Source organism: Homo sapiens, chromosome 6 (assembly GCF_000001405.40).
Source record: "Homo sapiens chromosome 6, GRCh38.p14 Primary Assembly".
Taxonomy (NCBI): domain Eukaryota; kingdom Metazoa; phylum Chordata; class Mammalia; order Primates; family Hominidae; genus Homo; species Homo sapiens.
The window spans coordinates 15637205-15649395 of record NC_000006.12 but is presented as its reverse complement, the minus strand read 5'-3'; the positions used below and the strand labels follow the sequence as shown (position 1 = coordinate 15649395).

The 12191-nt window shown below is 37.0% G+C and overlaps 1 protein-coding gene across 8 annotated transcripts in view, besides 1 other annotated feature; it reads left to right on the top strand.

Annotated features, from left to right (window-relative positions):
• DTNBP1 (dystrobrevin binding protein 1) overlaps positions 1-12191 on the top strand; it is a 140252-nt gene that overhangs the window by 13663 nt on the left and 114398 nt on the right. For all 8 annotated transcript variants that reach the window (NR_036448.3, NM_001271669.2, NM_001271668.2 and 5 more), the window contains one exon: positions 11592-11652. Coding sequence is in view for 6 of the 8 variants with exons in the window: in NM_001271669.2 (NP_001258598.1) it covers positions 11592-11652 (61 nt within the window). In the remaining 2 variants the exon portion in view is untranslated. The remainder of the gene's footprint in view (positions 1-11591; positions 11653-12191) is intronic.
• Positions 7743-7933: a silencer, noted in NCBI's record as "fragment chr6:15641694-15641884 (GRCh37/hg19 assembly coordinates)". NCBI's record gives its function as "represses an EF-1alpha promoter that drives an FKBP-Casp9 reporter gene in an ReSE screen in HepG2 liver carcinoma cells and phorbol 12-myristate 13-acetate-treated (for megakaryocytic differentiation) K562 erythroleukemia cells {active_cell/tissue: HepG2 | K562(+PMA)}" and the evidence as "EXISTENCE:reporter gene assay evidence [ECO:0000049][PMID:32094911]".

Sequence of the window (12191 nt, the reverse complement as noted above, 5' to 3'; positions counted from 1 at the left end):
TTATTTCATTTAGCATAATGTTTTCAAAGTTTATGTTGCAGCATGTGTCAGAATTTTCTTTCTTTGAAAAGCTGAATATTCTATTGTAAGTATGTACCATATTTTGTTTATTCATCTGTTGATGGACACTTGAGTTGCTTCCACTTTTTGGCTGTTCTAAATACTGCTTGCTGCTAGGAACATGAGTGACAAGTACCTTTTTGACACCTTGCTTTCAGTTCCTTTGGGTATATACCCAGCAGTAGAATTACTGGATCATACGGTAATTCTGTGTTTTATTCTTTCTGGAAACACCATACTGTTTTCCATAGTGACTGTATCATTTTACTTTCCCATCAGTATTGTATAAAGGTTCTAATTTCTTCCTATCCTCACCAACGCTCGCTATTTTCTTGTTTTTTATTATAGCTACTCTAATGAGTATGAGGATTTTCCCCTGTGTTTTCTTCTAAGAGTTTTTCTTGTCAAGATTGTTTTGGCTGTTGAAGGTCATTTGAGATTTCATATGAATTTTAAGATGTATTTTCTATTGTTTGCAAAGAATGTCATTGGGGTTTTGATTGGGATTAAATTGAATCTGGTCATTTTGCTTATTACAGATAACAATGTTAAGTATTCCAATCCATTAACATGGAGTGCTTTTTCTATTTATTGATGTCTTCTTTAATTTCTTTCAGTATTGTTTAGTAGTTTTCATTGTATGAGTCTTTCATCATCTTTGTTAATTCCTAAGTATTTTTTGATGCTATCATTTATGAAATTGTTTTCTTAATTGCTTTTTTTGAATTATTTATTGGTAGTATATAGAAACAACTGACTTAATTGTTGTGTGTTGATTTAATATCATACTTTGCTGAGTTCCTTTATCCTGATAGTTTTTTGTGTGGAACTTTCAGGGTTTTCTGCATATAAGATCATATCATTTATGAATAGAAATCATTTTGCTTCATTCATTCCAATTTGAATACCTTTTATTTCTTTTTTCTTGCCTAATTGCTCTGGCTAGACCATCCAGTACTGTGTTGAATCGAAGTGGAAAAAGCAGGCATCCTTGTCTTGTTCCTTGTCTTGATCCTGATCTTACAGGAAAAGCTTTCAGTCTTTCAACATTGAGTATAATGTCAACTATGAATTTTTATTATGTTGAGATTGTTCCCTTCTACTTTAGTGTTTTTATCATGAAAGGATGTTGAATTTTGTCAAATAACTTTTCTCCATGAATTAGGATGACCATGTGTTTTTTCCTTTCGTTCTACCAATCTGTCATATTATTACATTGACAGATTTTCATATGTTGAGCCATTCTTGCATTCCAGGAATAAATCCCTCTTGGAAATTGTGTATAATGCTTTTAACACAGTGCAGAATTTAGTTTGCCAGTATTTTGTTGAGGATTTTTGCATTAGTATTCATAAGGGGTATTGGTCTGTAGTTTCCTTTTCTTGTATGCCTTTGGCTTTGGTATCAGGGTAATGCTGGCTTGTAGAATGAGTTAGGATTTATTCCTTCCTCTTCATTTTCTTTTTAAAAAGATTTTGAGAATGGTCAATGTTGGTTCTTTTTTAAATGTTTGGTAGAATTCACCAGTGAAGCAATCAAGTCCAGGGTATTTCATCTTGAGGTTTTTTATTACTGATTCAGTTTCCCATTTCTTCAGGATTCAGTCTTGGTATGTTTTGTGTTTGTGGGAATTTGTCCACTTCAGCTAGGTTATACAGTTTGTTAGCATACATTGTTCATAGCACTCTCTCATAATCCTTTTTATTTCTGTAAGATTCGTAGTAATAGTCCCACTTCATTATGGTTTTAGTAACTTGAGTCTTTTTTTTTTTCTTAGTCAATCTAGGTAAACATTTGTTAATTTTGATAATTTAAATTGGTTTATCTTCAATCATGTTGATTCTTTCTTCTCAAATGTGCTTTTGAACTCCTCCAGTGAATTATTCATTTCAGTTATTATACTTTTAATCTCCAGAATTTCTTATTGGTTCCTTTCTGTTTTATATCTACCATTGGTAGATATAAACGGTAGTGGTATTGATGTTACCATTTTGTTCATGTATCATTTTTCACATCTGACTGGCATGAGATTGTATGTATCTCATTTGGTTTTAATTTGCATTGCTCTGATGATTAGTGATGCTGAGCATTTTTTTCATCTTTGTTGGCTTCTTATATGTCTTCATTTGAGAAGAGTCTATTCATATCCTTTGCTCACTTTTTAATGGGGTTGTTTTTTCTTGTTCATTTGTTTAAGTTCCTTATAGATTCTGGATATTAGTCTTTTGATGGATGCATAGTTTGCAAAAACTTTCTCTCATTCTGTAGGTTGTCTGTTTATTGTGTTGTTTCTTTTGCTACGCAGAAGCTCTTTAGTTTAAGTCCCATTTGTCATTTTTTGTCACAATTGTTTTTGATGTCTTAGTCATAAATTATTTGCTTAGGCCAGTGCCCAAAAGGGTTTTTTTCTAGGTTTTCTTCTAGGGTTTTTATAGTTTGAGGTCTTACATGTAAGTCTTTAATCTTGAGCTAATTTTTGTATATGGTAAGAGGTAGGGGTCCAGTTTTGTTCATCCATAAATGGCTAGCCAGTTTTCCTCGCACCATTTATTGAATAGGGTGTCCTTTCCCCATTGTTTATTTTTGTTGACGTTGCTGAAGATCAGTTAGTTGTAGCTGTGTGACTTTATTTCTGGATTCTCTATCCTGTTCCATTGATCTGTGTGTCTATTTTTATACTAGTACTATGATGTTTTGGTTACTGTAGCCTTGTAGTATGGTTTGAAGTCAGGTAATGTGATGCTTCTAGATTTGTTCTTTTTGCTTTGGATTGCTTTGGCTATTCAGGCTCTTTTTTTGATTCCATATGAATTTTAGATTTTTTTTTTCTGATTTTGGGGAAAATGGCATTGGTAATTTGATGGGAATTGCACTGAATCTGTAGATTGCTTTGGGCAATGTGGTTATTTTAATGTTATTGATTCTTCTAATCCATGAGCATGGAATGTTTTTCCATTCGTGTCATCTATGATTTCTTTCATCAGTGTTTTACAGTTCTCTTTGTAGAGATCTTTCACTTCCTTGGTTATATATACTAGGTATTGTATATGTGTGTGTGTGTGTGTGTGTGTGTGTGTCTATTGTAAATGAGATTGAGTTCTTGATTTGGTTCTCAGATTGAATGTTGTTGGTGTATAAAAATGCTGCAGATTTTATTTTTATTTATTTTTTAATTTTTATTTTTTAGTTTCTCAAATGAGTTGATGCTGTGGAGTTTTGTACATTGCTTTTGTATGTTGAAAAGTTACTGAAGTTGTTTATCAGGTCTATGAGTCTTTTGGAGGATTCTTTAGGGTTTTCTGGGTATGTAATCATGTTGTCAGCAAACAGAGATAATTAATTTGTCTTCATCTTTTCCTATTTGGGTACCTTATATTTCTTTCTCATGCTTGATTGCTCCAGCTAGGACTTCCAGTATTATGTTGAATAGGAGTGGTGAGAGTGGACATCCTTGTCTTGTTCCAGTTCTTAGGGAGAATGCTTTCAACTATTGCCCATTCAGTATTGTGTTGACTGTGGGTTTGTCATATATGGCTCTTAGTATTTTCAGGTATGTTCCTTTGATGCCTTGTTTGTTGAGGATTTTCGTTATGAAGGGATATTGAATTTTATCGAATGCCTTTTCTGTGTCTTTTGAGAAGATTATGTTATTTTTGCTTTTAACTCTGTTTATGTGGTAAATCACATTCATTGATTTGTGTTTGTTGAACCGTCCTTGCATCCAAGGGTTAAACCCACTTGATCATGGTGAACTATCTCTTTGATGTGCTGTTGGATTTAGTTTGATAGCATTTTGTTGAGGATTTTTGTGTCTATGTTTATCAGTAATGTTGACCTGTAGTTTTCTTTTTTTGTTATGTCATTGCTAGGTTTTGGAATCAGGATAATACTAGTTGCATAGAATGAGGTGAAGGAGAAATCTCCTCTCTTCAATTTTTTGGAATAGTTTCAGTAAGATTGGTACCAGTTCTTTGTACATCTGGTGGAATTTAGCTGTAAATCCATCTGGTCTAGGGCTTTTTTTGGTTGGTAGATTTTTTTTATTATTATTATTACTGATTGAATTTCGTAACTTGTTATTGGTCTGTTCAGAATTTCAATTTCTTTCTGGTTCAGTCTGGAAGGTGATGTGTTTCTAGGAATTAATCCATTTCCTCTAGGTCTTCTAATTTGTGCACATAGAGATGTTCTTAGTAGTCTCTGATGATCTTTTGTCTTTCTGTGGTGTCAGTTATGATGTCACTTTTGTCATTTCTGATAGTGCTTATTTGAATCTCTTTTCTTTTTTTCTTGGTTAATCTAGCCAGCAGTCTGTCAATCTTGTTTATCTTTTCAAATATCTAACTTTTTGTGTTGTTGATACTTTGTATGGTTTTTTTTTGGTCTCAATTTCATTTAGTTCTGCTCTGATCATAATTATTTCTTCTGTTAGCTTTGGGTTTAGTTTGTTCTTGCCTTTCTAGTTCTTAAAAGTGTGGTGTTAAGTTGTTAATTTGAGATCTTTGTGTGTTTTGGTGTAGTCATGGAGCACTGTAAATTTTCTTCTTAATACTGCTTTTTCTGTATCTCAGAGGTTTTGGTATGTTGTGTCTTTATTTTCATTTGATTCAATTAATTTTTTTTTATCTCTGCCTTAATTTCATTGTTTACCCAAAAGTCATTCAGGAGCAGGTTGTTTAGTTTCCATATACTTGTGTGATTCTTAGGGTTCCTCTTGGTATTTATTTTGATTTTATTCCACTGTGGTCTGAGAAGATGCTTGATATGATTTTGATTGTTTTGAATTTATTGAGACCTGCTTTATGATTGAGCATGTGGTCAATTTTAGAGACTGTTCGATGCACAGATGAGAAGAATGTATATTCTGTGGTAGTTAGGTGGAGTATCCTGTAGATGTCCATTAGGTCCATTAGGTTGAGAGTCTAATTTATGTCCAAACCTTTGTTAGTTTTGTGCCATGATCTGTCTAGTGCTGCTGGTGGGGTGTTGAAGTCCCCCACTGTTATTTTATGGCTATCTCTCTTTTTCGGTTCTAGTAGTAGTTTCTAAATCTGGGTCTTGTGATGTTGGGTACATATATATTTAGGATACGATATCTTCTTATTGAATTGAGCTCTTTATCATTATGTTGTACCCTTCTTTGTCTTTTTTTTTTTTTTTAACTGTTCTTGGTTTAAAGTTTGTTTTATCTGATACAAGAGTAGCAACCTCTGTTCTCTTTTGGTTTCCATTTGCATGAAAGATCTTTCTCCATCCCTTTATTTTGAGCCTATGGGTGTCATTACATGTGAGATAGGTCTCTTGAAGGTAGCAGAGGTTGGGTCTTGTTTTTTTAATCCAACTTGCCACTGTGTATCTTTTAAGTGGAGGATTTAGGCTGTTTCCTTTCAAGGTTAATATTGATATGTGAAGTTTTATTCCTTTGATAGTGTTGTTAGCTAGTTGCTTTGTGGTCTTTATTGTGCGATTGCTTTATAGGGTCTGAGTTTTGTACTTATGTGTGCTTTTATGGTAGCAGGTATCATTCTTTCATTTCCATGTTTAGAACTCCTTTGAGCATTTCCTGTAGGTCCAGTCTGATGGTGATAAATTCCCTTTGTGTTTGCTTGTCTGGGAAAGATTTCATTTCTTCTTTGTTTATGAAGCTTAGATGAACAGGATATAAAATTCTTGGCCAGCAATTTTTTTTTTAAGGAGGCTAAAAATAGGCCCCCAGTCTCTTCTGACTGTAAAGCTTCGGCTGAGAAGTCCACTGTTAGCCTGATGGGTTTTCCTCTATGGGTAATTTGGCCCTTTTCTCTAGCTGCCTTTATGATTTTTGCTTTCATGTTGACCTTAGTCTGATGACTGTTTGTCTCGGGGATGTCATCTTATATGGTATCTCTCAGGAGTCTCTGAATTTCTTGATTCTAGATTTCAGCTTCTCTAGCAAGATTGGAGAAATTTTCCTGGATTATTCCCTCAAATATGTTTTCCAAGTTCCTTACTTTTTCTTCTCTCAGGAATGCTAGTAAGTGAAAGGTTTGTTTGCTTTACATAATCCCATATTTCTTGAAGGCTTTGTTCATTTTTTAAAAATTCAGTTTTCTTTATTTTTGTCTGACTTGGTTAATTTGAATGACTGGTCTACAAGCTCTGTAATTCTTCTGCTTTGTCTAGCCTATTAACTATATTTTAAAATTCCTTTAGTAAATTTTAGAATTCAAGCAGTTCTATTTGTTTCTCTCGTAATATAGCTATCTTGTCTATCATGTGCTGAATCAGTTTTCTGGTTTCTTTGTATTGGATTTCAACTTTTTTCCTGGATCTTGTTGAGTTTAGTTGCAATACGTATTTTTTATTCTTTATTGGTCATCCTATACATTTCAGTTTGGTTAGGATCCATTGCTAGAGAGCTAATGTGATCCTTTGAGATGCCAGAACACCCTGGCTTTTTGTACTGCCAGAGTTCTTGCATTGATTCCTTCTCATTTGAGGAAGCTGTCTCTTTTTATTTTGAATTTGCCATCATTTGGATGTGACTTTTTTTTCCTTAAGGGTATGGCTGTGGTATATGTTGTGTATTATCATTTGCCTTTGTTTCTGGGTGCTTCCACAGAGCCAAATGCTATATGGGGTCCTTGGTTATGGATAGCTTCTGTGTAGTGACTTTCTCAGATGCTGCTTACTGTAGTGATGTATTGGCTCTAAGAACTGACACCTAACACCTTGTCTCCTGTGGAGCTGAGGGTGTGGAGATCCCAGGGGGCTCATCTTGTGGACTGCCTAGCACTAAGCCCTTTTTTAGCAGATTTTTATTTGGTGATGCAGTTCAGGCTGCAGTCCAGTAGATGGCATTTAAGAGTAAGAGCCGGCAGGTAGGCTGGCGTTGGGTGGAAGCACCTGCCCTGAGTGGGCAGGGGATGGTGGCGGGAAGAGATCCTGTGGGGTGTGCTGAGGTCTTGGGGGAGAAGGTGGGTGGGTACACCCACTCCTCATTCTGTGCTGGCAGGAACGTGATCCACTTCCTATCATGCCCCTGTCACAAGGCTCCCAACCTTCATTTCATAAAGATTTTGTCCTTTGGTTCCTGGCTGCGGGTTGCGGGTACACTCCTCTGAGGGCTGCCACCAAAATGGGCTCAGGGAGAGTCTCTTCCTCCAGATGGGAGCAGACAACTCTGCAACTTGTCTTCCCTTGCTGGGGTGTTGCTGCTCTGTGTAGGGAAGGGGAGTTGGGCCCTACCCTTCCTGAAAGCTTGAGCTGTGCAGGGCTCACTTTCAGTAGAGGTGGAGCCGCTACAAGATGCATGAAATACGCTGTGTGTCCGAGTGCATGTGCTGGCCCCTGGCAGAGAGAACACTGCTGCATCAGCAACAGTGTAGGGGGATGCAGGAGATGACCCCTTCCCCACATCCATTCCTGGGTAATGATACTTCCTCTTGTAGCAGTTGGCACTGTGCCTGCATTTCCTTTGTCCCAAGGTGTGCTTTTGATGGGCTGCACTCTCTTCCACTTAGGGATGGCCCACGCAGGGGGTTAGATCTCCAGAGATCTCACAGTTACCTGGGGAACTGCTGGTTCCCTGTGCTTGCCAAAGTTAGAGTGGTCTGTGAGGTGTGTTTGCAGGGAATCTGGTGGTGTGGTGACTCAAGGGCAGAGAATCCCTGGGCAGGGCAGCATCCCACTGCTGGCGCACGACAAGTATGGTATCTGGCACCTGAGAGGAGTGTGGACACGCATGTACACACGAGTTGGCCACCAGATTCTCCAGCCCCAGGAGGTTTTCAAGTCACCATCAATAGTATTGCTTTGGGTCACAAGGGCAGAGGAGCACTCTCCAACAGTTTGATGGTCAGGAGATTGTTGGAGGGGTAAGGGGAGCAGAGAACTACTCCCACCTACCCTTTCCACAGGGCTCCAAGGTCCTTGAGGGTCAATCTCTGCCAGAGTCTTGCTGCTTTCCTTTTCTGCACCCCAGCTTCTTCCCTTGGGCACTCTGACAGGTCCTGGCTCCCTTCCCTCAGTTTTCTGTCTAGAATTTGTCCACTCACCAGTAACTTTGATCTATTTTTTGAGAAAAACTGGCTTTTGATATTCCTAGTAAGCCATCTTGGGACAAAAACAAAAACAAAAACACGCACACACACCACAAAACAAAAAACAATTGCATCTGTTATTGAATGTCCTAGTCTTTAAGTGTCTGGCTCTCCAAGAGGGAAAGGGGAACAAAGAAAGGGGACAAAACCAGACGCTGGCCTTTTAAATCCTCTGAAAATTGCTAGCCATAGCAGGAGGGGTTTGCAACAGTAGCTGCCTCTGTGTCTGCATCTCCCTGATTAGAAGCAGCAATTGTGATCAGAGCACAGACTCCCTGATGTTTGGAGCACAGGGTCCTTATTGGCCCACCTTGACTTTCATAAGCCGTGTACAAGCTACTTCAGGAACAAGTGCATGGCTACCTGTCCAGGGGTTGGGGTGGTGGATGGGTAGCTGTCATTGTGCTAAAACCTGAAGTCGACTGAAATGAACCTCAGTTTACCCTCCAAACCTTCCCCTGGAAGCTGCAAGCCTTTAATAGATTCTAGAGTCCCAAAATAGTTACATCAGACAGATTCTGCCAATGTGATTGTGGTCTAGGTAGGGTGACAGATTCTAGATGCCTCTTACTCTGACATCTTCTCTCTATTTCCTAAATCATAATGTTTCAAAGAGTGTAGTACAACACAGTCTACAGTTACTTTCCTATATTCCTATAGCTCTAATGCTATATAATTAGTCCTTTCCTTTGTCTACCAAGTAAGGTAATTATTTACCTGTGTGTTCATCTTCCTAACTGTATTGTGAACACTTCCACTAGTCTTCCCATGGTATACATAGAATATATTCAATAACGATTTGAATGCAAGAATTACACATTATGAATGTGGCTTCTTCATTTCATCATCATTGACTTGTGATTTTTAAAGACGTTTGAGTTTGAACACAGAAAAATTGAAGGAGTTTACATCCAGTGTCTTTATCTCAGTAAAATGGAGTAAGTTCATCCATCTGTTGAAAGTGATTGGATGGGGATGAGTTTCAAGGCGGCATGAGATGTGTAATACCTGCTGTGTGTACTTCAGGGAACAATCTAATAGCAATAAATTTTTTTTAAGTGCTGATTGGCAGCTAAGGCCCATGCGAGGTTGGATAGCATACATTGTAATGGATTTAGTGCCTTTCTCCAAACTGCTTCATGTCGTAAAAGTAGAGCAGAGAATATGAATGGTTGCGATAGTCTAGGTTTAGAGAATGCTGAAAACAGTAGGAAAATCATGAATGAACTAGGTGCTGAACTAGGAAAGTAGAAATGAGGGAGGGTGATGTATAATGGCAAGGTGGATGTGAAAAGCATACATAATAACGGGGAGAAAAGGAAATGGTGAGATGTTAGGAAAAGTGATCTGGAGTCTAAATTTGGCAAGTGAGGATTAATTTTCTCTTTCCCACTGAGTTAAGAAAATGATAGAAAATTTTACCACGAAGTCCTGAATTTTCAATTTATAATTAGTCTATTTCCTCACTCAACAGACATTTAATGTGTCTCTTGTTTGTTAGGTTCTGTGCTAACTACCAGGATAACAAAGATGCAAAAGTAAAATTTATATCTCAGCAGTTCTGGTGCCTAACAGTGCTTAGCATTTAGTAAATACTTGTTGATTTTAATTGATGCTTACATAATCTGATACATCCAAGAAAATTTTCTAGCTTTCTGTTAGTCAACAATGACAGCAGGACTGTATTATTTGTGTGACCTTCCACCTTAATTTTCATCACATGTGGACTCTAGTATCACCTGGATTATTCAGATTGATTTTCTTACTTAAATTCAGTAGAAAAATTGTGAATCTGACTATGAGGGGAGGCAGTATGAACTCATTAAATATGTATTCCTGTTTGGAGAAATATTCGCTGGATAGCTAGAATTTTAGATTGGGAAATCAGGTTTTACATCAGCAATCAAATGAATAGTAGTTTAGAAGTTTTATTTTTTAACTTCTCATTTTGAAATAATTTCAGATTTACAAAAAAATTGCAAAAATAGAACAAGCAATTTCAGCTTTCCCAGTGTTAGCATTTCATATAACCACAGTACAATGATCAAACCAGAAAATTAACATTAGTAAATACCTTAATCCATAGGCCTTATTCAGATTCCATCAATTATTCCACCAGTGTCCTTTTTTCTGTACTAGGATCCAATCCAGGATCACACATCATATTTAGTCACAATGTCTCCCTTACCTTCTTTAACATTGAACAATTCTTTAGTCTTTGTCTTTCATGACCTCAGTACTTTCGAAGAGTACTGGCCAAGGCTGGGCATCGTGGCTCATGTCTGTAATTTCAGCACTTTGGGAGGCTGAGGTGGGTGGATCACTTGAGTCCAAGAGGTTGAGGCTGCAGTGAGCTGTGATCACACCACTCCAGCCCGCGTGACAGAGTGAGACCCTGTCTCAAAAAAAAAAAAAAAAAGTACTGGCCAATTATGTTTCAAAATGTCTATGAATTTGGATTTTTCTATTTCCTTGTAATTAACTGTAAGTTAGTACTTTTTTGGTAAGAATACCAGAAGAGTAATGTTATATCCTTCCCAGTGCATCACATCAGGAGGCACATAATGTTGATGTGTCTCATTACTGTTGACATTAATTTTGATCACTTTATTAAGGATGTGTCTGCCAGGTTTGTCCTCAGTTAACACTGTTTTCTCACTTTTAGTTAATGATTATCCAATGGGCAGATACTTTGAGGCTGTGTAAATATCCTGTTTCTTTTTGTGCTTTTACCCACTAGTTGTATCATCCATTAAAATTCTTTTTAAAACAATTATTACTATTGTGTTTACCAATTGGAGATTTTTTTTCTCATCATTTCTTTTAAAATTACTAATTGGGGCCAGGCACAGTGGCTCATGCCTGTAATCCCAGCACTTTGGGAGGCCGAGGTGGGTGGATCAGGAGTTCGAGACCAGCCTGGCCAATGTGGTGAAACCCCATCTCTACTAAAAATACAAAAATTAGCAGGGCGTGGTGGCACACACCTGTAATCCCAGCTACTCGGGAGGCTGAGACAGGAGACTTGCTTGAACTTGGGAGGTGGAGGTTGCAGTGAGTCGAGATCGCACCACTGCACTCCAGCCTGGGTGACAGAGTGAAACTCCATCTCAAAAAAAAAAAATTACTAATTGGATTTCTATTATAAGGAAGAGTTTTTCTCTTCTCTCTCATTGATTTATTTATTCAATTATTTACATCACCATGGACTCAGGGATATTGTATTCTTTGAGTTATAATCTGTTACTACCATTATGTATTTTGTTGCTCAAATTGTCACAGATTTGGCCACTGGAAGCTCTGTCAAGTTGACGTCTGTGTCCTTGCAACATGTCCCCATTATTTTTTGAGTGTTTCCTTTCTAGCACCACAGGATATTCCACATTCATCTTTAGATAGTATTTCCTTTTAATGTGTGGTTTGCATTTCAAATTATTTTTTGCTTTTTTTTAGGTATGAGGATACATGGGCTGCACTTCACAGAAGAGCCAAAGACTGTGCAAGTGCTGGAGAGGTAAAGAATTGACTAATCTTATACTCGTGGCAAACTTTCCTTTTTCAGTGCTAAATGGTATTTTTTAAAAATTGAATTTATAATTGTTTGTGTCAAAATGTTTTGCAGGATATCTGAAATTGAATCTAGTCGTTGATTATGAAACTCCCTGAATAAAGCACCTTTTTATCATTTCTCTGTCAAGTAATTTAGTTTAGTTGAGCAAGAGAGTTTATAACTTTTATTCTAAGGACAGGTAAATACTTGTTTTATGTAGATATAATGCTCTGAATTTTAGTCTGATGAATTTGCAATATATGTAAATTATAAGACATCTCTTTATACCCTATATAAGACATCTCTTTCTACACTATTTAAGAATTCCTTATTATTTGGTCAAAAAAACTTAACTTTGCTCAGTCTATCCAAAATTATTAATTTGCCTAACAAATAAATACAAAAATTTCAGGGGTCATCCTCAGTTCACTTAGAAGAACAAAGTATTTTTAAGCACTAGTGTCTTGTAATTTAAATGACTTGGTAAATGTACATAGCCAAAA